Source organism: Homo sapiens, chromosome 19 (assembly GCF_000001405.40).
Source record: "Homo sapiens chromosome 19, GRCh38.p14 Primary Assembly".
Taxonomy (NCBI): domain Eukaryota; kingdom Metazoa; phylum Chordata; class Mammalia; order Primates; family Hominidae; genus Homo; species Homo sapiens.
The window spans coordinates 9,860,839-9,887,420 of record NC_000019.10 but is presented as its reverse complement, the minus strand read 5'-3'; the positions used below and the strand labels follow the sequence as shown (position 1 = coordinate 9,887,420).

Genomic DNA, 26,582 nt, shown 5'->3' with positions numbered 1-26,582 from the left:
GATCACTTGAGGTTAGGAGTTTGAGACCAGCCTGGCCAACATGGAGAAACCTCATCTCTACTAAAAATACAAAAATTAGCTGGGGGTGGTGGTGTGTGCCTGTAATCCCAGCTACTCGGGAGGCTGAGGCAGGAGAATCGCTTTAACCCGGGAGGTGGAGGTTGCTGTAAGCCAAGATCACACCACTGCACTCCAGCCTGGGCAACAAGAGCGAGACTCCATCTAAAAAAAAAATGAAAGAAAAAGAAAAATTGGGTGGATTCTGTTTGCAAGTGAATGTACTTAAACGATTTATTCTTGAATGCCAGAGATGTTTATTGAACACCTGCTGCGTGCCAGGCACTGTTCTGTTTTGAGGACACAGCAATGAACAAAGTGATAAAAATTCCTGCCCTTTGGGGAGTGTACATATGAGAGCGACAGACAAGAAATAATATGAGGCCAGGCACGGTGGCTCACACCTGTAATCCCAACACTGGGAGGCCGAGGCAGGCAGATCACCTGAGGTCAGGAGTTTGAGACCAGCCTGGCCAACATGGTGAAACCTTGTCTCCACTAAAAATACAAAATTAGCCAGGCGTGGTGGCACATGCCTGTAATCCCAGCTACTTGGGAGGCTGAGGCAGGAGAGTCGCTTGGACCCAGGAGGCAGAGGTTGCAGTGAGCTGAGATTTAAAAAAAAGAAAGAAAGAAAAAGAAACGAGATGAATGTAAGGTGCGGAAAAATGCATCAGGGATGGTCCTGGAGCATGACAGGGGCTGCACATGTGGACGAGGCAGACTGGGCAGAATCGAGGATGCATTTCGAAGTGAGGGCTGCTTTCGGGGTTGTGCAGGATGGATTGCCTATTTAGGTGGAAATGACAGAACTCGGTGCCAGGGTGTGAATGTGAACCTGAAGGGACACTGACATAAATACCCTCTTAGGGCCCAGTGCGGTAATACCAACATGTTGGGAGGCCAAGGTGGGCAGATCACCTGAGGTCAGGAGTTCGAGACCAGCCTGGCCAACATGGTGAAACCCCATTTCTACTAAAAATACAAAAAATTAGCTGGGCATGGTGGTGTGTGCCTGTAATCCCAGCTACTCGGGAGGATGGGGCAGGAGAATCACTTGAACCTGGAAGGCAGAGGTTGCAGTGAGCCAAGATCACTCCATTGTACTCCAGCCTGGGCAACAAGAGCGAAACTCTGTCTCAAAAAACAAAAACAAAAACAAAAACCCTCTTAGGTTGAATGTTCATCATTTCCCCCATCTTAGGTTGGGTTCCTGAGAAGCAGAACTAGAGACGTAAGTTTCCAGCACTTTTTTTTTTTCTTTTTTGAGACAGGGTCTTGCTCCGTTGCCCAGGCTGGAGTGCAGGGGTGCAATCATGGCTCACTGCAGCCTCAACCTTCTGGGCTCTAGCAATCCTCCCACCTCAGCCTCCCATGTAGCTGGGACTACAGGTGTGCGCCACCACACCTGGTTAATTTTTTAATCTTTTGTAGAGACAGGGTCTTGCTGTGTTGCCTAGCCTGGTCTTAAACTCCTGGGCTCAATGATCCTCCTGCCTCGGCCTCCCAAAGTACTGGGATTACAGGCATGAGCCACCGTGCCTGACTGTGGAGCACATAATTGAAAGTCAGGGCAGGGGTGAGGGGAGCAGGACCTGGAAGAGAATAGATTGAGCAAAGATGAGATCCTAGGTAAAGTCCCGGTTTGGCTTGCTCCACAAGGGTGGGGGGACACTGTGGAGTTATCTCACCATGAGAAGAGGAGTGGGCTTTTTACCCCTGCATCAGTCATTAGCTGCCCCTGGGAGTAGGTGACACCTCCCAAGCATCTCCAAGGTGTGGTGGCTCCCAAAAGCCATGGGCAGGTCCAGAGAAGATCACAGCTGCTAGCAATGAGCCGCCGTGCTCAGCAGCTGCAGGGTGGGTACATCTAGGCAGTCAGCAGCTCTGGGCAGAGCCCCAGGAGCATCTCCCACACTCCCCCAGCCCTAACGAGGGGGGTCATAGGAGCACCAGGCATTTGTGCCAATCACAGCGTGGATGTCTGACACCAGACCATGTTCTCAGCTCTCTTGGGATGAAAACCAGGCCAACTTGGCACTGGGGCTCCTCTGACACAGCTGAGATTTTTTCCGGATTCATTAACTGCCGGAGACTCAGCCCTCTGCCTCCCAGTCTGGGAATTGCAGTCTGGGAATGGGTCAGAATCACTCACTCAACAGTAAGGCACTACTATCACTCCCATTTTGCAGGTGGGGAAAGTGAGGCACAGAGAGGTTAAGTCACTTTCCCATGGTCACACAGCTAGAAAGAGAAGCCGGGTTTTGAAGTTCAAGTTGTCGGCCTCCAGGGTCCATGTGCTTCACAGCTACACTCAACTACCTTTGACTCCATGACCGCTTCAAAACCCAGAGCCCCTGTATCCACCCTGTGATGGGAGAGGAAGGAGGAAGAGAGCAGACAGAGGGTGTTGGGGAGTCGGGGAGGAAGGGGTCACATGGAAAACTTGGAGTGTACAGGAAGCATTCATTCATTCATTCATATCTTGATGCCTGTCCATTGTCTCCAGCATCTGCTGGTGTTGGGACCATAGCATGGAAGAAGACAGACTCAGCCCTGCCCTTTTGGAGCTCACATCCTAATGGGGCATGCAGACACCCACCATGCAAGGAAAAGAATAAAATATAAGAACTTTGTGGAGGGAAGGGGCAGGGAGCTGTGGAGATGTGCACAGGAAGGAACACAGACCTATCTTAGATGATGGAGAAGGCTTCCTGGAGGTGGTGGTGTTTGCTGTGAGCTCTGAAGAATGCCTAGAACTGGCGAGTCCTAGCTGTAGAAACACCAGCATCTCTACAGTCCCATAGACCTGGGGCTGGAGTGCACTGGCACAATCTCGGCTCAGTGCAACCTCCACCTCCCAGGTTCAAGCGATTCTCCTGCATCAGCCTCCCGAGTAGCTGGGACTACAGGCACCTGCCACCACACCCGGCTAATTTTATATATTTTTGGTAGAGATGGGATTTCACCATGTTGGCCAGGCTGGTTTCGAACTCCTGACCTTGTGATCCGCCTGCCTCAGCCTCCCAAAGTGCTGGGATTACAGTCCTGAGCCACTGTGCCTGGGCTTTTTTTTTTTTTTTTTTTAATTTTTGAGACAGGGTCTCACTCTGTCACCCAGGCTGGAGTGCAGTGGCATGATCACAGCTCATTGCAGCCTCAACCTCCCTGGGCTCAGGTGATCCTCCTCTTTCAGCCTCCCAAGTAGCTGGGACTACAGGTGCGCACCACCATGCCTGGCTAATCTATGTATTTTTGTTAGAGACGGAGGTCTCACTATGTTACCCAGGCTGGTCTTGAACTCCTGGGCTCAAGCCATCCTTTCACCCCGGCCTCCCAAAGTGCTGGGATTATAGGTGTGAGTCACCATGCCCAGCTAAGACTACTGTGATTTTAAGCTCTGTGTGCGCAGGCATTCGTTCAACCTCCGTGACTGCCCTAAGAGGGGGATGCTGCTGTTCACCTCGTTTTACAGATGGGGAAACTGGCGCACCATGAGGCTTAAGTCACTTGTCTGAGGTCATGGCTAGGAGGTGGTGCGATGAGGTCCCCCGTGCACACATCGTGCATGCAAAATGCCTGGCACACGGGCAATGCTTGACTAAACTGGTGAAGATGTTATCACTTGCTGGATGCTGCTCTTTGGTGCATGCCATGGCTAGAGGTGATACTGAAGTGCGTGCTCAGCCGGGGATGGATACAGGCGCTGGCGGGTACAATGCAGGCTGATTGAAGGCCCTCTGAGTCCTGCCACCTGGCAGAGCAGTCTTCAGCCTCCTCTGGCTCCACTCCCAGCCCTGGAGAAGCTGGGGGGCCACGGGCCTCTCTCCGGCAGCTTTGACTGGGAGCAGCTGCTCAGTGCTTAGCCAGGATTGATTTCCCTTTAAGCAGCCCATTCTCGCTAACAAAGGTCTCCGGTGACCCAGGTGGCCGCCACTACCCCCTCCCCTCCAAGCAGAGGACGTGCCTGCCTCTAGGCTGGAGCTGTTTTCTGCCTCTGAGATTGATTCATCTGAAAGTCTTGGGCTTACCCAGAGGGATGGGCTGAGTCAGCCTGGATATGCTTACCTGGAATTTGTTGGATTTTTGCCTGTGTTTTGCCCTGGCCAGTTCACCTTTCATGATCTCCTTGGCCACATCCTTTTTTTTTTTTTGAGATGGAGTCTCGCTCTTGTCACCCAGGCTGGAGTTCAGTGGTGCGATCTCGGCTCACTGTAACCTCCACCCCCGGATTCAAGTGATTCTCCTGCCTCAGCCTCCCAAGTAGCTGGGACTACAGGCACTTGTCACCACTCCTGGCTAATTTTTTTTGTATTTTTTTTTTTTTAGTAGAGATGGGGTTTCACCATGCTGGCCAGGCTGGTCTCGACCTCCTAACCTCATGTAATCCACCCACCTTGGCCTCCCAAAGTGGGGGGATTACAGGTGTGAGCCACTGCGCCTGGCTTTTTTTTTTATTTTTTTTAATAGATAGGGTCTTGCTCTGTTCCCCAGGCTGGAATGCAGTGGCACAATCATAGCTCACTCCTGAGCTCAAACAATCCTCCCACCTCAGCCTCCTGAGGTGCTGAGGCTATAGGCATGCACCACCATGCCCAGCTTATTTTTTAATTTTTTGTAGACACAGCGTCTCACTACGTTGCCCAGGCTGGTCTCAAACTCCTGAGGCCAAGTGATCCACCCACCTCGGCCTCCCAAAGTGCTGGGATTACGAGTGTGAGCCACCGCCCAGCCCCTGACCACATTCCTACCCCACTCACACACAGCTATGGGCTGAATTGTGTGTTTCCACCCCCCAAAAATTCATGTATTTAATTCTTTTTTTTGAGACGGAGTCTCACTCTGTCGCCCAGGCTGGAGTGCAGTGGTGCGGTCTTGGCTCACTGCAAGCTGCAGCTCCCGGGTTCACGCCATTCTCCTGCCTCAGCCTCCCGAGTAGCTGGGACTACAGGCGCCCGCCACCTTGCCTGGCTAATTTTTTGTATTTTTAGTAGAGACGGGGTTTCACTGTGTTAGCCAGGATGGTCTCGATCTCCTGACCTCACGATCCACCCACCTCGGCCTCCCTAAGAGCTGGGATTACAGGCATGAGCCACCGCGCCTGGCCTTTTTTTTTTCTTTTTTGAGACAGGGTCTCACTCTGTTGCCCAGGCTGGAGTGCAGTGGCGTTATCACAGCTCACTGCAGCCTTGACCTCCCTGGGCTGAGGTGATCCTCCCTCCTCAGCCTCCCGAGTAGCTGAGATTAGTGGTGCGAGCCACCACACCTGGCTAATTTTTGTATTTTTTGTAGAGATGAGGTTTTGCCGTGTTGCCCAGGCTAGTCTCAAGTAATTGCCTGGGCTCAAGCCATCCACCCGCCTCGGCCTCCTCCCACGGTGTTGGGATTATAGGCGTGAGCCACCACGCCCAGCCCATATGTTTAATTCTTAACACCCAGTACCTCACAATGAATGTGACTGTATTTGGAGGTGGGGTTTTTTTAAGAGGTGATTAAATTAAAATGAGGCCTTTGGAATGGGCCCTAATCCAACATGACTCATGTCTGTATAAGAAAAGGAGATTAGGTCCGGGTGCAGTAGCTCACACCTGTCGTCCCAGCACTTTGGGAGGCTGAGGTGGGAGGATCACTTGACAGCAGGAGTTCAAGACCAGCCTAGGCCACACAGCAAGACCCCCCAACTGTAAAAAAAAAAAAATTAAAAATTAGTGGGACATGGTGGCATGCACATGTAGTCCCAGCTACTCGGGAGGCTGAGCTGAGAGGATCCCTTGAGTCCAAGAGGTTGAGGCTGTAGTGAGGCTTGAAGGAACCAACCCTGCTGACACCTCGACTTCTGACTTCCGGCCTCCAGAACTGTGAGACAATGCATTTTTGTTGCTTATGCTGCCCAGCCTGGGATACTCAGTCAAGGCAGCCTGAGCAAACTCACATGCACGCCCTTGGAAGTTTCCTACCCTTGAGTCCATCTTAGAGTCCATCTCTCAGTAGCCCTGCCCGGTCAGGCTACTGTATAGGGCATCACTGTATAGGGCAGGGTCCCAGGAAAAAGCATAGTTCCTTCAAAAGGGATTCCAGAGGACAATTCTCTGGAATGAAATGACTGTTTTCAGAGATGTGGGCAAGGTTAATAGAAGGAGCAAAGGGATGTTGAAAATCCCTGGGGTTGCCGGGCACAGTGGCTCATGCCTGTAATCCCAGCACTTTGGGAGGCCGAGGCAGGCAGATCACTTGAGGTCAGGAGTTTGAGGCCAGCTGGCCAACATGGCAAAACCCCGTCTCTACTAAAAATACAAAAATTTGCCGGGTGTGGTAGTAGGTGCCTGTAAATTCAGCTGCTTGGGAGGCTGAGGCAGGAGAATTGCTTGAACCTGGGAGGCAGAGGCTGCAGTGAGCCTACATTGCGTCACTGCACTCCAGCCTGGGTGACAGAGCAAGACTCTGTCTCAGAAAATCCTTGGGTCTGCAGCTGAGAGGAGCTATTGCTACCCCCAGGCCACAGAGAGAGCGCCAAAGCTGCAGAAATGTGTGTTTGTTTACTAGGTCTGCTGTCATGAAGTGCTTTGGGCTGGGTGGCTTAAACAACAGAAATTTAATTTCTCACAATCCTAGAGGCTTGAAGTCTGAAATCAAAGCATTAGTTTCTTTTGAGGCCTCTCTCATTGGCTTGCAGGTGGCCACCTTCTTACTGTATCTTCACGTGGTCTTTTCCTATGTGTGTGTCTTCATCTCCTCTTTTATTTATTTGTATTATTTATTTATTTTTAGAGATGGGGTCTCGCTCTCTTGCTCAGGTTGGAGTGCAGTGGTGTGATCACAGCTCACTGCAACCTCAAACACCTGGTCACAAGTGATCCTCCCACCTTAGCCTCCTAAAGTGCTGGGATTACAGGTGTGCCCCATCACACCTGGCCCCAACTCCTCATTAAACAACTTTCAGGTTCCTCTGTTTGCCATGCGTCTTCCTACTAGAGCAGAAGCTTTATGAGGTTGGGGATGTCTGCGCGTCTCCTGGACAGTAGTGACCCCAGTACCTAGAACAGTGCCTGGCACATAGTGGGTGCTCAGTAAATATTTCTGGGATGAACGGATGCTCTGCCCTCCCTGCCTTTGCCCATGCTGACTCTCGCTCCTACATCCGTAAACTTAGCTATTGCATCTTCCAGAAGGCCATTGCTACACCCTCAAAACCAGGCTCTGGGCCAGGCACAGTGGCTCGCATCTGTAATCCTGGCACTTTGGGAGGCCGAGGTGGGAGGATCACTTGAGCTCAACAGTTTAAGACCAGACCGGGCCCAGTGGCTTATGCCTGTAACCCCAGCACTTTAGGAGGCTGAGGTGGGCAGATCACCTGAGGTCAGGAGTTCGAGACCAGCCTGGCCAACATGATGAAACCTTGTCTCTACTAAAAATACAAAAATTAGCCAGGCATGGTGGTGTGCACCTGTAGTCCCAGCTACTCAGGAGGCTGAGCCAGGAGACTCACTTGAACCCAGGAGACGGAGGTTGCAGTGAGCCGAGATCTTGCCTCTGCACTCTAGCCTGGGTGACAGAGTGAGACTCCACCTCAAAAGACAAAAAAGAGTTCAAGACCAGCCTGGGCAACATAGCCCAGGCTCTTAAAAATTTAAATATAATTTTTAAAAATTAAAAAACTTAGCCAGGCGTGGTGGCGCACACCTGGAGTCCCAGTGTATTAGTTCGTTCTCATACTGCTATAAAGAAATACCTGACACTGGGTAATTTATAAATAAAAGAGGTTTAATTGGCTCACAGTTCCACAGGCTGTACAGGAACCATAGCTGGGGAGGCCTCAGGAAACTGACATTCATGGCAGGGGGTGAAAGGGAAGCAGGCGGGTTTTACACGGCCAGAGCAGGAGCAAGAGAGAGACTGGGGGAGGTGCTACACACGTTTAAACAACGAGAGCTTGGCTGGGTACGGTGGCTCACGCCTGTAATCCCAGCACTTTGGGAGGCCGAGGGGGGCAGATCACCTGAGATTGGGAGTTGGTGACCACCCTGACCAACATGGAGAAACCCCGTCTCTACTAAAAATACAAAATTAGCCAGGCGTGGTGGCGCATGCCTGCAATCCCAACTACTTGAGAGGCTGAGGCAGGAGAATCGCTTGAACCCGGGAGGCGGAGGTTGCAACGAGCTGAGATTGCGCCATTGTACCTGGGTAACAAGAGTGAAACTGTCTCAAAATAAATAAACAAACAAACAGCGAGATCTCATAAGAACTCACTCCTTATCAGGAGAACAGCAAGGGGAAACCTAGCCCCATGATCCAGTCACCTCCCACTGGGCCCCTATTCCAGCATTGGGGATTACAATTTGACATGAGATTTGAACGGGACACAAATCCAGACCCTATCACTCAGCCACTCAGGAGGCCGAGGTGGGAGGATCGCTTGAGTCCAGGAGGTTGAGGCTGCAGTGAGCCATGACTGCGCCACTGTGCTCCAGCCTGGGCTACCGAGTCTCAAACAAGCAAACAAAAAATTCAGGCTCTGGAGCCCAGAGATAGAGCCCAGGTCTTCCAGTGTTCTGTGCTTCCCTGCATCGTGGCACTTATCACACCCTGTTATAATTGCCTCTTCCTTTTTCTTTCTTCCTTGCTTATCTGTGAATGTGGGGAAGCTGTGGAGGGTGCTGTCCTATCTGGAAAACAGCCACTGGTATTTCCTGAGCACTCTCTCTGAACCAGGGCTTGAAGCACTTCCGTTGTATTAGCTCGCTGGAGCCTCAAAATGCCGACAGGGTCATCTCATCACCTACTGCCAGTTTCCCTGTTTGAGAAATGAAACTGATGCCAGGTGCTCATGTCTGTAATCCCAGCTACTAGGGAGGCTGAGACAGGAGAACTGCTTGAACCTGGGATGTGGAGGCTGCAGTGAGCTGAGATTGTGCCATTGCACTCCAGCCCGGGTGACAAGAGTGAAACTCCATCTCAAAAAAAAAAAAAAAAAAAAAAAAAGAGAGAAATGAAACTGAGGCTCAGAGAGAGTCACTTGTCCAGGGTAACACAGAGCCAAGATTGAAGCTCAGATGGTCCAGCCCACCTTTCTGTGTTCCCAGTCAGCACCGATTTGCTTATTTTTATTCCATAGGCAATTCTGTCACACTCCCTTGAATATCACGTTGCGTATGTGTCCCGGCCTGTTTGCTGTTACTATAACAGACTACCACAGATTGGGTAATTTATAAAGGGCTGGGTGTGGTGGCTCACGCCTGTAATCCGAGCACCTAGGCAGCCAAGGTGGAAGGGTTGCTTGAGCCCAGGAGTTCAAGACCCACCTGGGCAATGTGGCCAGACCCCATGACTACACAGATTTTTTAAATTAGCCAGATGTGGTGGCACGTGTGTAGTCCCAGCTACTCAGGAGGCTAAGGCAGGGGGATCGACTGAGCCTGGAATGTTGAGACTGTGATGAGTCAGGATCGCATCATTGCACTCCAGCCTGGGCAACAGAACCAGACCTCATCTGTAAAATAATCAATTAATTAATCTTTCTTAAAAAAAAAAATTTATTTTTCCAGTTCTGGAGACTGGGAAGTCCAAGGGCATAGCACCAGCCTCTGGCAAAGGTTATCCCATGGCCAAAGGGCTGAAGGCAAAAGTGACACAGAGAGAGGAAATTGGACCAAAATCATTCTTGTTGTCAATAGCCCACTGCCATGATAACTAACCCACTTCCCTGATAATGGCATTAATTCACCTAACCTCATCTTTAAAGGTGCTACCTCTCAACACTGTTACTTTTTTTATTTTTATTTTATTGTATTTATTTATTTATTTATTTATTTATTTATTTATTTATTTTTGAGACAGAGTTTCTCTCTTGTTGCCCAGGCTGGAGTGCAATGGCACAATCTTGGCTCACCGCAACCTCCGCCTCCCGAGTTCCAGCCATTCTCCTGCCTCGGCCTACAGAGTAGCTGGGATTACAGGCATGTGCCACCACGCCTGGCTAATTTTGTATTTTTAGTAGAGACGGGGTTTCTCCATGTTGGTCAGGCTGGTCTTGAACTCCTGACCTCAGGTGATCTGCCCGCCTCAGCCTCCCAAAGTGCTGGGATTACAGGTGTGAGCCACCGCACCTGGCCATATTTTTTTTTTTTTTTTTTTGAGATGGAGTCTCACTCTGTCGCCAAGGCTGGAGTGCAGTGGCACCATCTCGGCTCATCGCAACCTTCACCTACCTGGTTCAAGCGATTCTCATCCCTCAGCCTCCCGAGTAGCTGGGATTACAGGCGCCCGCCATCATGCCCAGCTAAATTTTGTATTTTTACTAGAGGCAGGATTTCACCATGTTGGCCAGGCTGGTCTCGAACTCCTGGCCTTAAGTGATCTGCCCCCCTTGACCTCCCAAAGTGTTGGGATTACAGGTGTGAGCCACCGCACCCAGCCTCTGAAGTAGCTATTCTTCTGTTTCTTTACTTCTCTAATAAACTTGCTTTCACTTTAAATAAATAAATAAATAAAATGGATTACGTTTCCAACACATGAATTTTGCGGGGACACATTCAAACCATAACATTACGTTAAGCCATTCTGATATATTAACAACCACCTCATGACATCAGTACTATTCTTAGCTATATACTCTAACTGGGGGAACGGAGGCACAGGATGGTTAAGTCAGTAGCCCAAGGTCACACGGCAGACCTGAGGCTCGAACCTAGGAGACCCTTAATGACCACGTCCTCCCACCTCCACTGGGGGAATTGAATGCATTTGAGACTCATTTCTTTGAAACCCTGGAATGTGTGTTGGAGGTGTAGCCAAGGGATAAAGGGTTTGGACCCAGAGTGGACTTGCCACCCGCAGGGGCGCATGGGGACCTAGCAGGAAAGAGCCCTTGGAGGTGGGTTTTCAGGAGTCCTGGTACCTGGCTGTCTGTTATTGGCAGGTTGATCAATGTCACCTCCTGGCTGTGCTGTCCAGCCTTCGAGGCCTCCCTCCAGCCGCTGCCTGGGGGACTCGCAGCAAACACTTCCATTTTGTATAGGGGTGTCCCTGGCTATCGGTGTGAAATGCCTCAGCCAGCCATGGAAGTTAAATGTCCCCCATGGCGACCTTTTCCACACGCGGACGGATTGATTTCAGAAATCCATCCCCGGCCAAAGCGCCCAGCCCCAGCCCCTACCACGGGCGCTGATGGCTGCAAATTTATATCCAGGCCAGAAATTGAATTCCTGTAAGTTGAAGGAACTATCTGAAAAGCTCACCCAGGCTCATTTTTACGTCTGAAAAACTTCAGGCAAGAGATTAAATTGGGGCCAGTGTCTCCCAGCAGTAGGGACCTCGGTGGCGGGGAGATGACCTCGCTGAAGACAGCTTCTTTAGATTCTCTGCCTTCAGCTTGGCCTCCTGGGGCTGAGAAATAAAAAGCAGTGAGACCTGCAGGCCTGCATGGCTAAAGGGATTCCCACTTCTGACCAGCTAATGTTAGAAAAGGGACATGCTCTGTGTACCCAAGGCAGGCTTTTGGTCCCCGTGGTAGCTATTGAGCTATTCAGAGGGACAGGAAATAAAACTGCTAATTCAGGCCAGGTGCAGTGGCTCATACCTGTAATCCCAGCACCTTGGGGAGGCCGAGGTGGGAGGATTGCTTGAGCTCAGGAGTTTGAGACAGGGCGATACCCTGTCTCTGTGAGAAAAAACAAACAAAAAACAAAAGAAAAACAACAACAACAAACAACCAGATGTGCTGGTAAGTGCCTGTGGTCCCAGCTACCCGGGAGGCTGAGGTGGGAGGATCACCTGAGCCAGGGAAGTCGAAGCTGCAGTGAGTCGTGATCGTGCCACTGCACTCCAGCCTGTCTCAAAAAAAAAAAAAAGCTGCTAATTCATCTTCATCCCCGGCCAGGCCCCTGCACCAGCTCCTAAGGCCACCTCAGTCCCAGCAAATTGGCGAGGTTCTAATTAAGCTTCCTTGGGCTGTGGCAGAGAGGACATCAGAGTCTGTGGATCATTCCAGAACCCTCGCTCTTCCCTGCCCCCTGCCAGAGGCATGAAGGCTGGGGAAGGAGAAGCAGATAAATCAAGTGACAGCTCCGTGAAGGAAGAAACCCCATCTTGCTAGAAAGATCTCTCTCGCCTGCCTTGAAAAAATGAGACTGATGCAAATGCGGCTGCTTCTCTTTGGTACAAAAGCCCTTAAATATTAAAGAAATGAATCCTTGATGTCTACAAAGAAAGGATCAAAAACAAATCTTTCTGAAAGGAGAAAAGCTTTTATTTCGCCGTGAACTCTTCTAGATCTAGCCTCTGGCAGGGATGCCTGCGGAACAGGGAGCACAGGAAGATAAAGCTCTCAGTGATGGCCATTCAATATTTGTTCATTTAGGAAGCGTCTGAAGCAGCTACTGCATTGGGTTACAGGCTGGGGAAACGTCCAGCAAAGTGAGGCCACAGTTCCTGCCCTCAAAAGCCATTAGGGGACGGGTGCAGTGTCTCATGCCTGTAATCCCAGCACTTTGTGAGGCCGAGGCAGGAGGATTACTTGAGCTCAGGAGTTCAAGACCAGTCTGGGCAACACAGCAAGACCTTGTCTCTAAAAAATAAAATAAAAGACTGGGTGCGGTGGCTCATGCCTGTAATCCCAGCACTTTGGGAGGCCAGGGTGGGTGGATCACTTGAGGTCAGCAATTTGAGACCAGCCTGGCCAACATGGTGAAACCCCATCTCTACTAAAAATAGAAAAGTTAGCCAGGCATGGTGGTGCACACCTGTAGTCCCAGCTACTTGGGAGGCTGAGGCAGGAGAATCGCTTGAACCCAGGAGGTAGAGGTTGCAGTGAGCCGAGATGGCTCCACTGCACCCCAGCCTGGGCGACAGAGGGAGACTCTATCTCAAAAATAAATAAATAAAATAAAAGCCGGTGGTGGCTGGGCATGATGGCTTATGTCTGTAATGCCACCACTTTGGGAGGCTTAGGTGGGAGGGTCACTTAAGGTCAGGAGTTTGAGTCTAGCCTGGGCAACATAGTGAGACCCCCATCTCTCTTAAAAAAAAAAAAAAAAAGGCCAGTGGGGCATTCTCCAAAACTCCCTGGCCAGTAATCCTCAAAACTGTCAAGGTCAGAAAAAACAAGACAGAAACGTCATAGACCAGATAAGTCTAAAGACATGTGATAACCACTGAGTGTAACGTGGGATCCTGCATTAGATTCTGGAACAGAAAAAGCACTCAAGTGGGAAAACTGGGGAATTTGAATAAAGTCTAGAGTTTAGTTAATAGTAATGGATGCACGGATGTTGATTTCTTAGTTGTGACAAGTGTATCATGGTTATGTAAGATGTAATAACAGGGAAGTCAGGATGAGAGGTACACAGGAGCTCTCTGTATTATTGTTGTAACTTTTCTGTAAACCTAAAATAATTCCAAAAGTAAAAGTTGATTAGGTAGGCATGGTGGCCCACACCTGTAATTTCAGCGCTTTGGGAGACCAAGATGGGAAGATCGCTTGAGGTCAGGAGTTCGAGACTAGCTTGGGAAACATAGTGAGATCCTGTCTCTACAAAAAAAAAAAAAAAAAAAAAAAAAAAAAAAAAAATTAGCTGGGCATGATAGTGTACATCGGTAGTCCCAGCTACTTGGGAGGCTAAGGTGGGAGGATTGCTCGAGTCTGGGAGGTTGAGGCTGCAGTGAGCCATGATCACACCAATGTGGGACACGGCCTGGGGGACAGAGCAAGACCCTATCTCAAAACAAAAATAAAAATAAAAAAAGTATCAGGGTGTGGTGGCACACACCTGTGGTCTCAGCTACTCCGGAGGCTGAAGCAAGAGAACTGCTTGAGCCTAGGAGGCTGAAGATGCAGTGAGCTATGATCATGCCCCTGCACTCCAGCCTGGACAACTGCTTGAGACCCTGTCTCTTAAAAAACCAAAAATGTTGGCCAGGTGTGATGGCTCACGCCTGTAAACACAATACTCTGGGAGGCTGAGGCAGGTGGATCCCTTCAACCCAGGAGTTCAAGACCAGCCTGGGCAACATGGTGAAACCCCGTCTCTACAAAAAATACAAAAATTAGCCTGGCGTGGTGGTGTGCACCTGTAGTCCCAGCTACTCAGGGAGCTGAAATGAGAGGATGGCTTGAGCCTGGGAGGTGGAGGTTGCAGTGAGCAGTGATCGCGCCGTGATTACACCACTGCACTCCAGCCTGCGCGGCAGAGTGAGACCCTGAAGGAAGTGACTCTTGTCCTCCCAGCATAGTGGCTGAGAGTCTGATAGGCTGGCATCCAAATCCCAGCTCTGTGAATTTGGGTAACTTGACTTTTCTCTGTATCTCAGTTTTCCCATCTGTAGAATGGAGCTAGTGTTAGTACCTACCATGAGATGGGGCTCTAAGGATTGAATTTTGGTAATATTTGTAAAGCAACTAAGAAGAGCGAGCTCTACAAGTGTTAAGTAAAATATGAAATTCAGAATGGGAGTAGAGCTTGGGGAGGGATGGATGGACAGATGAATGAATGGATGGATGGATAGATGGATGGATGTATATAAATGGATGGTTGGATGAATGAATACGAGTGAATGGATGAATGAATGAATGGGTAAACAGATAAATGGATGAGCAGATGAATGAATGGATGGATAGATGGATAGATGGTTGGTTTTATGAATGAATGGATAGATGGATGAATGGGTGGAAAGGTGAATGAATGGATGGATGAATGAATATGTGGATTCACAATCACTTTCTATCCTGACCCCTCCCCGACCCACAAGGCTCTTCCAGGCAAAACCCCAGTTCTCAGGCTGAGGGAGGCCCCAGGCGGTTCCCAGGCTTCCAGCATGGCGCGGGTGAACTAATATTTTTTTTTTTTTCTTTTGAGACAGGGTCTCGCTCTGTCACCCAGGTTGGAGTGCAGTGGCGTGATCTCGGCTCACTGCAACCTCTGCCTCCCAGGCTCAGGCGATCCTCCCACCTCAGCCTTCTGAGTAGCTGGGACCACAGGCTCGTGCCACCATGCCTGGCTAAATTATTTTGTATTTTTGGTAGAGACAGGGTCTTACCATATTGCCCAGGCTGGTCCCGAACTCCTAAGCTCAAGCCATCTGCCTGCCTTGGCCTCCCGAAGTGCTGGGAATGCAAGCATGAGCCACAGCGCCTGGCTGATATCTTCTTTAAGGCCTGTCAAGCTTATCACTCAGGGGATATTTGCCCAATACCTCAAGGTTTGACAAGAGCAGGCTGCTATTATCTCAAGCTTTCCAAAGGGACGTGGCCCCCTGTCACGGCTCAGACATAGCAGACAGGCACATTCTCCATCATTCATCACGGCCCTCCTGCCATTCTCGCAGTCAGAGAGAAGCCACAGCCTCTGCCTAGCCTACTGGGCACCTGTCTGCAGCCTAATCTCAGGTGATCCTTCCCTAGGACGAACAACAGAAGCAAGCTCCGTGGCAGAAAGGAGAAATTCACGGTAGACCTGTGAAGGTGTTTGCTCTCTGTCCCACTGGTTCATCAGCATCCTCATTCAACAAACATACCTTGTGCCAGGTTCTGAGGATCACGGATGAATTGTTTGCACAGCAAACAAAACTCCCCGCTCCCCTGTGGTTTCCTTTCCCAGGGTAGAGGCAGGCCTGGAGCCAGCATTCCCACCCGTGAGGCCCTCCTAATGGCGACTGTGATCAGGGCTTGGAGGAGGACAGGAGAGGTGCCGCAAGCCAGTGTAGACTGTGTAACCAGATGGCCTGTGTTCGAATTCCAGCTACATCACTTACAGGCAGTGATGCTTTGGCAAAGAGCTTTTTTTTTTTTTTTTTTGAGAGCAGAGTCATGCTATGTGGCCCAGGCTGGAGTGCAATGGCGGGATCTCAGCTCACTGCAACCTTCGCCTCCAGGGTTCAAGCGAGTCTCCTGCCTCAGCCTCCTGAGTAGCTGGGATCATAGTAGCACACCAGCACACCTGGCTAATTTTTTTGTATTTTTAGTAGAGACGGAGTTTCACCATGTTGCTCGGGCTGGATTCGAACTCCTGACCTTGTGATCCGCCTGCCTTGGCCTCCCGAAGTGCTGGGGTTACAGGTGTGAGCCACAGCACCCGGAATTTTATATAATTTTTTTTTTTAGACAGGATCTCGCTTTGTTGCCCAGGCTAGAGTGCAGTGGCACCATCTCAGCTCACTGCAACCTCTGCCTCCTAGGTTCAAGTGATTCTCTTGCCTCAGCCTCCTGAGTAGTGGGGATTACAGGCTCTCGCCACCATGCCCAGCTAATTTTTTGTATTTTTAGTAGAGATGGGGTTTCACCATGTTGGCCAGGCTGGTCTCGAACTCCTGACCTAGAGTGATCTGCCTGACATGACCTCCCAAAGTGCTGGGATTACAGGCATAAGCCACTGGGCCCGGTCTGGTCTTAAACTCTTGAGCTCACCTCGGCCTCCCAAAGTGCCAGGATTACAGATGCGAGCCACTGTAAACCACAGACATGCACCACCACACCCGGCTATTTATTTATTTATTTTGAGACAAAGTTTTGCTCTTGTTGCCCAGGCTGGAGTGCAATGGTGCAATCTCAGCTCACTGCGATCTTGGCTTACAGCAACCTCCACCTCCCGGGTGACTTGAGAGGAGGGTAACGCGTGGCAGGGACCACCAAGACTGCTTTTGGAAGAGACCTGAACGCTTGAGCCCCGGGGATGGGGAAGAGTTAGCCTGGCCCTAAGAAGGGGAGAGTGCGGGGATTGGCAGCAGGCCCGGCCCGTGCAAAGGCCTGGAGATGAGAATAAGCATCCTGTGACCTGGGAAGGGAAAGACAATTAGAGAGGATGGGCCAGAGAGAACACAGCAGTGTGCGCCTACATCCTGGTTCAGTGCCTGTAAGGATGGAGAAGGACCTTGGCTCCCCTGCTGCCAGGTTATAGCAAGGAGATATTCTGGAAAAGGAAGCCAGCTGGGCCGCGTGGGGACTAGGATGGAGCAAGTGTCCCCTCTCATCCCTCACTCTCCTCTCTCCCTCGTTGGACTTTCTTTGCCTCATGATCCCACAGCCTCAACCCCAACTCCATGAGACTTTGCCAGATCCTTTTTATTGTGTCAAGACTCACACCGTTTGACCTCAGGAAGTTACCAAATTGGCCTTTTGAGTGTTATGAAGATAATAATAGCAGGGCAGCGTGTGATGACTCAGGCCAGTAATCCCAGTACTTTGGGAGGCTGAGATGGGAGGATCCCTTGAGGCCAGGAATCCGAGGCTGCAGTGAACCGTGAGCGTGCTGCTGCACCAGCCTGGGCAACATAGTGAGACTCCACCTCTACAAAAAAAAAATTTTTTTTTAATTAACCAGGTGCAGTGGTGCATGCCTGTAATCCTAGCACTTTGGGAGGCTGAGGCTGGAGGATTGCTTGAGGCCAGGAGTTCAAGAGCAGTCTGGGCAGCACAGTAAGATCCTGTCTCTACAAAAATATTTTAAAAAATTAACCAGGTGCAGTGGTGCATGCCTGTAATCCCAGCATTTTGGGAGTCTGAGGCTGGAGGAACTGTCTGAGGCCACGAGTTCAAACACAGCTTGGGCAATTATAGCAAGACTCCCATCTCTACAAAAAATAAAAAATTAGCTGGGCATAGTGGCACATGCCTGTAGTCCCAGATGCTCAGGAAGCTGATGGCCAGAGGATCGCTTGAGGTCAGGAGTTCGAGGCTGAAGTGAGCCATGATTGTGCCACTGCACTCCAGCCTGGACGATAGAGTGACACCCTGTCTCTTAAAAAATAAAAATAATAGTATTAGCAGACACTTGTGTAGCTCTTACTACATGCTGATGACTGTTCTAATTGCTCTTATATATATTATGAACTCATTTGATCCTCCTAGCAACCCAGAGAAGTAGGTAGTCATCATGTCCATTGTACAAATGAAAAAACTAAGAAAGACACAGAGAGGTTAAGCCACTTGCTGAGGTCACACAGCAAGCGAATGGTGAAGCCAGAACTTAAACCCAGGCAGCCTGACTCCAGGACCCTGCTCTTACCAGTTGGCCCTACTCTACCATCCCAGGAGGAATAAGAAACATCTAGAGGAAACTAGTCACTTCTATCGTAAGGATATTGCCCGGAGAGATGCTGGTGACATCACGTGGAATCCTTTTTGGGAGGACTGTGGGAGAAATCCCTGCCAAAAATAATTGAGCTTTCTCCTGAGCATCTGGTGTACTTTTGTTTCAGGACACTGAGAACCGCATAAATGACCAGCTTTCCCTTTCTGAGTTGGCTGCTAAGGAGCTTGGAGCCAAACTTATGGCCCGGCCATATGCTGATTGTTCAGGTTTTTAAGGGATGAGTTTTTCTTAGCCTCGTTTCTGGCTCTGTTTTATGTCCCTGCTTTTGTTTTTCTTCTTTTTCTCCCTTGCCAAAAAAAAAAAAAAAAATTTAAGGGACTTTTAAAAATCTTTTTTTTTTCTTTTGAGATAGGGTCTCACTTTGTCACGCAGGCTGGAGTGTAGTGGCGCCTTCATAGCTCACTGCAGCCATGAACTCCTGGGCTCAAGTGATCCTCCTACTTCAGCTTCCTGAGTAGCTGGCACTGCAGGCATGTGCCACCATGCTAATTTTTAAATTTTTTGTAGAGATGAGGTTTTACTATGTTGCCCAGGCTGGTCTCAAACTCCTGGGCTCAAGTGATTCTCCTGCCTTGGCTTCCCAAAGTGTTGGGATTACAAGCGTGAGCCACTGCACCCGGCCCTAAAAATCTTTATAAGAACAATACACGTTCATTGTAGAAAACTTGGAAAATAAGATAAATTTAAAGATGGTGATTAAAATCTCCATTAATCTCTAATTTTTAATGACTGCATAGTATCTCATTCTGTAGATGCATCTTAAATTTGTAAATTGGCTGGACACAGTGCCTCACGCCTGTAATCCCAATACTTTGGGAGGCTGAGGTGGGAGAACTGCTTGAGCCCAGGAATTTGAGACCAGGCTGGGCAACATAGCTAGTCCCTGTTTCTACAAAAAATCTTTTTAAAAATTAGCCTGGGCCAGGCGTGGTGGCTCACACCTGTAATCCCAACACTTTGGGAGGGTAAGGCGGGCAGATCACCTGAGGTCAGGAGTTCAAGACCAGCCTGGCCAACATGGTGAAACCTCGTCTCTACAAAAATACAAAAATTAGCCGGGCATAATGGCAGGTGCCTGTAATCCCAGCTACTCCAGAGACTGAGGCAGGAGAATCACTTGAACCCTCGAGGTGGAGATTGCAGTGAGCCAAGATCACGCCATTGCACTCCAGCCTGGGCAACAGAGGGAGACTCCATCTCAAAAAAAAAAATTAGCCTGGTTTAGTGGCTCACACCTGTAGTCCCACCTACTCAGGAGACAGAGGTGGGAGGATCGCTTGAGCCTTTGGACATCAAGGCTGCAGTGAGCTATGATCATGCCACTGTACTCCAGCCTGGGTGGCAGAGCAAGACCCTGTCTCCAAAAAAAAAAAATTTTTTTTCTAGCATGTGTAATAGCTTTTGATCAAATTAATTTCTAATTGTCCAATTTTAAACAATGCTTAATGAACCTCCCTTGCAACAATCAGATGCTGTCCACAAAGTTTCCATGGGCTGAATTCTTAGCTTTGGATTGGCCGAATAAAATGCAAATTGCAGAAACTGTAATGGCTTGGCTGTGGACTGGCAGGCTGTCCTCCAAAAATATCTAATCCCCGCTCTCATATTTAATTGGCGCTATCTTATGGTATTTTACATATCCTTGTAAACCACTTAGAGTCCTCTCTGGAACAAGGCAGGGCACAAATAAATATGTAAGCCCCAAGGTGCCTTGGCTTCCTGATTAAATTATCCAGCCTCAAACACAATAATAGCTTCATTTTATTAAGAGGCAGGCGCTTGCTCTCTTCCTGTTGGCTACTTCCTGATAGCCAATGCTTCTCCTGTCCCCAGGACCCTGTAGCAATGCCTCCGTCCCCAGGGAAACACCAGGAATTGTTTTTTTTTGTTGTTGTTATTGTTGTTTTTTTGAGACGGGGTCTCGCTCTATTGCCCAGGCTGGAGTGCAATGGCACGATCTCGGCTCACTGCAACCTCTGCCTCCTGGGTTCAAGCAATTCTTCTGCCTCAGCCTCCTGAGTAGCTGGGCTTACAGGTGCCTGCCACCACGTCTGGCTAATTTTTGTATTTTTAGTAGAGATGGGGTTTCACCATGTTGGCCAGACTGGTCTGGAACTCCTGACCTCAGGTGATCCGCCCACCTTCACCTCCCAAAGTGCTGGGATTACAGGCGTGAGCCACCATGCCTGGCCACCAGGAATTGTTTTTGAACCAAGATATAGGTGGTGGAGTAGTAGGAGATGATGATCCCTGGCCCGACAGCAAGAACAGCTTTCCCTGCCTGTGTCCTACTCAGTTAATCCTGGACCTGTTTTAGAGGCTGGTGTTTAATTAGGGCAGCCTCAGCAAAAGTGTTTGTAAGATTTCAGCCAGAAAAGACATTTGAGGAACAGATACTTGAGTGCATAGCTTCACTCCCTTAAAGCCCATTAGCAGGAATATTAAACCCTGAACCAAGAGCTCAGCAAAGAGAGAGTGGGTTGGCAGGGCCGTCGTGATAGCTCACGCCTATAATTCCAGCACTTTGGGAGGCCAAGGCGGGTGGATCACTTTAGCCCAGGAGTTCAAGATCGGCCTAGGAAATGTAGTGAGATCCCCGTCTCTACCAAAAAAAATAGCCAGTCGTGATGGTGCATGCCTGTAGTCCCAGCTGCTCGGGAGGCTGAGGTGGGAGGATTGCTTGAGTCAGGGAAGTTGAGGCTGCAGTGAGCCTAGATCATGCCACTGCACTCCAGCCTAGGCAACAGAGCAAGACCCTGTCTCAAAAAAAAAAAAAAAAAAAAGTGGGTTGGCTTCTTTAGTACATCTGCCACATCCGAGGTGAGACAGGCTGCTAGACCACAGACTTCTATGCTGGAGAACGCCTGTGTTCTTGCACCTGCTGTTGTAAGCATTTCCCCTAGAGTAGGACACTCTCTGTTCCTCTCTAGTCTTCTGACTGCCAAGAACTCTTGACTTTGTTTCCAAGCTAGACCCAGTCTGGGAGAGCTAGCACATGGTACATTCCAGAACATTCCAGCGGTTCCTAGGGACATGCATTAACTGCATATCTGAACTTAAACCCAATGGGCAAAACTCAGGACCTCTGCCTGCTGCGATCTGGCAGCCAAAACCCAGGCATTTAATTACACTGCTGCAGAGAACACTCCGGTGAGATGCGTCCAACGCAGACAATTATTTTAGGAAAACCATGGAGGCCTTCTCTCTGCACCACTTAAATCTTGCTTCTCTTTTACAATTCAATATTTCCTCTGTCGAGAGAAAATGGCTTATTTGCTTCAACGGACACGCTAGGCAATGTAGGAAGATGTTAATTACGTTGAACCGGCGGCTTTGTCTCTGCACAAAAGATATTCCTTGGGGGTTTCTATCCAAATTGCTTGGGGACTAGAGCCAGGGGAGGAGGGGCAGGGATGCTTGGGCTCCTGTTTGATGTTTTTCTTTGTTTTTTTTTTTTTTTTTTAAGAATGAGATTTATCAAGAAGGGAGGGCCGGGCACGGTGGCTCATGCCTGTAATCCCAGCATTTTGGGAGGCCAAGGCGGGTGGATCATTTGAGGTCAGGAGTTCAAGACCAGCCTGGCCAACATGGCGAAACCCTGTCTCTACTAAAAATACAAAAATTAGCCAGGCGTGGTGGTGCATGCCTGTAATCCCAGCTACTTGGGAGGCTGAGGCAGGAGAATTGCTTGAACCTGGGAGGCAGAGGCTGCAGTGAGCCGAGATCCCGCCATTGCACTCCAGCCTGGGCGACAGAGCAAGACTCCCTCTCAAAAAAAAAAAAAAAAAAAAAAAAGAAAAAACAGAGAGGTAACAGTGACTCATGCCTTGTAATCCCAGTGCTTTGGGAGGCTGAGGCAGGAGGATCGCTTGAGCCCAGGAGTTTGAGACCATACTGGACAATATAGCAAGACTCCCATCTCTACAAAAAAATTTAAAAATTAGTAGGTGCGATGGTGAGACTAAAGGCCTTTAGTCTCAGCTACTCGGGAGGCTGAAGTGGGAGGAATCACTATTTAAGCCCAGGAGGTTGAGGCTGCCAAAAGCCCTGATAGTACCACTGCACACCAGCCTGGGTGACCAAGTGAGACTCCATCTCCAAAAAAAAAAAAAGAGGAGAAGAAGAAGAAGGGAGGTGGGAGAGTAGTTCTGGATCCTCCCAGAACCAAAGGGGCAGGCTTTCTTGGGGTATTCCTCTTGTACTGGGCCATCCTTGTTGTCTTAGGTCAGGCTCTTTCAGGGAGGATTTAAGTGCAGGTATCCACCTAAGATACCCCAGGAAGAACCAGTGGGGGAGCAGTGAAGTGAGAGAGGAGGTGAAGGAAACCCGTGCCGGGAGACTTAATGAGTACGCCAGGCGCAGTGGCTCACACCTGTAATACCAGCACTTTGAGAGGCCGAGGCAGGTGGATCGCTTGAGCCCAGGAGTTCAAGACCAGCCTGGGCAGCAAAGCAAGACTATCTCTACAAAAGGAAAAAAAAAAAAAAAAAAAAGCTGGGTGTGTTGGTACCTGCCTGTAGGCCCAGCTACTCAGGAGGCAGATGTGGGAGGGGATGGCTTAAACCCAGGAGTTCGAGGCTGCAGTAAGCTAGGATTGCACCACTGCACTCCAGTGGTGGGTGACAGCAAGACCCAGACCTGAGCGACAGCAAGACCCCATCTTAAAAAAATAAATAAATGTGCCAGGCGCAATGGCTCTCGCCTGCAATCCCAGCACTTCGGGAGGCCAAGGTGGACGGATCACTTGAGGCCAGGAGTTCGAGACCAGCCTGACCAACATAGTGAAACCCTATCTCTACTAAAAATACAAAAATTAGCCAGGCATGGAGGTGGGTGATTGTAATCCTAGCTACTCGGGAGGCTGAGGCATGAAAATCGCTTGAACCCAGGAGGTGGAGGTTGCAGTGAGCCAAGATCGCACCACTGCCCTCCAGCCTGGGAGACACAGCGAGAGTCTGTCTCAAAAATGAAAAATAATAAAATAAACGAATAAATAAAAGAGAAGTAATGAGCAGGTTGCTGCTGTGGACAACTGAGGTGTAAATCTAATGGGTTGCCCTGGAAGATTTCATGAACATACACCTTCGAGTTCTTTCCCACTGGAGAGGCAAGAGGGGTGGTATTAATCACGAATGCCTGTAGGTCATCTCTGAGGATTGCTGGGTGTATTTTCTGCTGGCCCCATGCAAGGGCAGGGTGGGATATGACCACCAGAGAAAGCTCTTGGCTGTGGCCAATCCTGGGCACACCTGCAGTGAATGTTAGCTCCACCCAGCTCCTACCTGAGTACAAGGAAGGCGGAGAAAGTGAGTTACTGTGCTCCGCTGCCAGGGCTGAGGATGTGCAACTTACAAAGAGGGGGTTCCCCCCATTTAGGAAGGGTGTACAAAGGCTCGAAGAATGACTGACTGTAATAGTTTCAGCTGGCGTTTATGAATGGTTTGTTTTCCTTATAGATTAGTGGGGGAGTCAAGCTCATCTGTATAATTTGTACAATTATATCATTTGCTCATATTCCAATAAGCCTTAAAAAAAAAAAGACTCGATTGAGTGGGAGAGAAAAAGGTGGGCTAATAGTTGGAGTCCCCGGGATCGCTCATAATTCACAGCTTGGTTTATCTGTGCTGCAGCTCACGGCACCGATTCTGCTGGGAGATCTAGTAATGGCTGTGCAAATGATCAATGATTGTGGTGCTTTGTTTCTCTGTAAAACACTGGGGTTTTTTTAATCAGAATTTCTTCCATGCCTGTCAGAATGCATCCTGGAATAGGACCAGAATCTTCCATTTACCGCCTCTATGGCCACCACCCATCATCACCTGTCTGGATCTGTGCAGTCACCCCTGCCCTGGCCTCCCTCCCTCGTTCCCTAGAGCAGCCAGAGGTCACTGTGAACACCCAAGTAAGGTCACGTCTCGCCTCTGCACAGAACCCTCCATGGCTCCCACCTTCCTCAGGGCAGAACCCAGAGCCCTCACTGCTTCCCACAAGGCCTTGCCCCATCACCTCCCTTCTCTCATCTGCCTCCACTTACCCCTTACTCAATCTGCTCCAGCCACATGGGCCTCCTCCTTGTTTCACAAACACACCAGGCATGGTCCTGCCTCAGCCTTTCTACTTGCTGTTCTCTCTGCCTGGAACCCCTTCCCCAGACATCCAAATGGCTCCTCCCTCACTTCCTTCAGGTCTTGAACAAAGACTTCAGGTTTTGAACAAACGACGCCTACGTGTGCAAGCCCAAGCCAGTCACCCCACAACCCTCACGTCCCCCCACATCCTTTTTTTTTTTTTTGAGACAGAGTTTCACTCTTTTGCCCAGGCTGGAGTAAAGTGGTGTGATCTCGGCTCACTGCAACCTCGGCTCGCTGCCCCCACCCCGCCAGGTTCAAGCGATTCTCCTGCCTCAGGCTCCCAAGTAGCTGGGATTATAGGCGCACATCACCATGCCCGGCTAATTTTTGTATTTTTAGTAGAGACGGGGTTTTACCATGTTGGCTAAGCTGGTCTGGAACTCCTGACCTCAGGTGATCCACCTGCCTCCACTTCCCAAAGTGCTAGGATTACAGGTGTGAGCCACCGCGTCTGGCCTGTTTTTTTTAAGAGATGGGGTCTCACTCTGTCACCCAGGCTGGAGTGCAGTGGCACAGCCATAGCTCATTGCAGCCTCAACTTCCTGTACCCAAGCAATCCTCCTGCCTCAGCCTTGTGAGTAGCTGGGACCACAGGTGCATGCCACTACATCCAGCTAATTTTTTTTTTTTTTTAATTTTTAGTATAGATGAGGTCTTGTTATGTTGCCCAGGGTGGCCTTAAACTCCTGACCTTCAGTGATCCGCCCCCTTCAGCCTCTTGAAATTCTGGGATTACAGGCGTGAGCCACCATTCCTGGGTCCCTCCAGACATTGATCAGGATTTGTAATGATAGAAATGTCCCCTGCCTTCTCCTTTTCTTCTGTCTCACTCGTCCCTCAAGTTCATCTCAAGAGCCCATTCTCTTGGATACCTCCTCAGAGACCCTCAGCCTGAGGGAAGACCCCCTGTTACTCCCTGCACTACTTCTTCAAAGCACTCACTGCAGCATGTGGTTCTAGAAGTATCACTGGCATTAAGTGGTTGATGTCCGTCTCTCCTAGTAGCTCCATGGACAACCACCAGATGTTTTCTTCATTCCTTCTCTTCCTTGATCCTATCCCAGACCCTATGCCTGGGACAGAAGAGACTCTCATGGATATCTTCTTTTTTTTTTTTTTTTTTTTTCTTTGAGACGGAGTCTTGCTCTGTCGCCCAGGCTGGAGCGCAGTGGCGCAGTCTCAGCTCACTGCAACCTCCGCCTCCCAAGTTCAAGCCATTCTCCTGCCTCAGCCTCCCATGTAGCTGAGATTACAGGTGCCCGCCACCATACTTGGCTAATTTTTGTATTTTTAGTAGAGATGGGGCTTTGCCATGTTGGCCAGGCTGTTCTCAAAACTCCTGACCTCAGGTGATCCACCTGCCTCAGGGGTGTCTTCTAATCAGTTTGGAAGTTTATGATTTGTGTCTAGAGTTCCCTGGTACTTATTTGCATTTCTAAGCCTCTGATAAGTCCTGCAGTAACAAAACTTGTTTCACCCAGTGACACACATTTATTTGACCACAGAGCATCCTTTTCCCAGCACACCTGGTAAGATTACCAGTGTTGGAAGGAGTATGGCTTGGGAAACAAAGCCATAATTGGTCACTGGATTATCTGAGCATTTTGTCTGCCATCACTTTGCCTGGGTGGCTCCAGGTGAGGTGGGGGCACAGCAGGGTTGCACTTAACATTTGGTGGCCCTGATGGCCGGGCACGGTGGCTCACGCCTGTAATGCCAGCACTTTGGGAGGCTGAGACGGGTGGATCACCTGAGGTGAGATCCTTTTTTTTTTGTGAGACAGGGTCTCACTCTGTTACCCAGGCTGGAGTGGAGGCCAGGTGTTGGAGACAGGCGGAGGTTGCAGTGAGCCCAGATCGCGCCACTGCTCTCCAGCCTGGGTGACAGGGCAAGACTGTGTCTCAAAAACAAACAACAACAAAAAACAAACCAAAAAAAAAAAAAAACATTAAGTGGCCCTGAGATAGCTCCAGAGCCGATATGTCACTGTGGGCTGGGGAAGCAGAGAGGAGGTCCAGGTTTGGGGGTTATTTGAGTGGATCTCTGTTCTAATGGCAGTCACAGAGACAGTGTTGTGTGCGTGCAAATCTGTGTGAGAGAATGAATTCTGGTCTTGGAGAAGATTTGAGTCCTCCAATTCCTTGCCGTGTTCCTTAAGCCCTCCGCACCTCAGTCTTGCCATCCGTGAAATGAGGCTCCTTAAGGAGGGCCTGAGATCACACACAACAGGCACTGGCATATGCCCGGAGCCCAGCAAAGGGCATCTGTGGTTTCCTTGGGCCCCCTTCCTGTCCCAGTGAGGGCGAGGCGA

The 26,582-nt window shown here is 49.6% G+C and overlaps 1 protein-coding gene across 3 annotated transcripts in view; it reads left to right on the top strand.

Moving 5' to 3' along the window:
- The window catches only part of OLFM2 (olfactomedin 2), an 82,798-nt gene that overhangs the window by 49,095 nt on the left and 7,121 nt on the right, over window positions 1-26,582 (top strand). Inside the window, exon 1 of one of the 3 annotated variants that reach the window (XM_047439713.1) lies at window positions 23,900-24,042. The exons of the other annotated variants lie outside the window; for them this stretch is intronic. The gene's annotated coding sequence lies outside the window, so the exon portion shown is untranslated. Of the gene's footprint in view, window positions 1-23,899; window positions 24,043-26,582 lie in introns of those variants that run through there. 3 annotated transcript variants of the gene reach the window in all.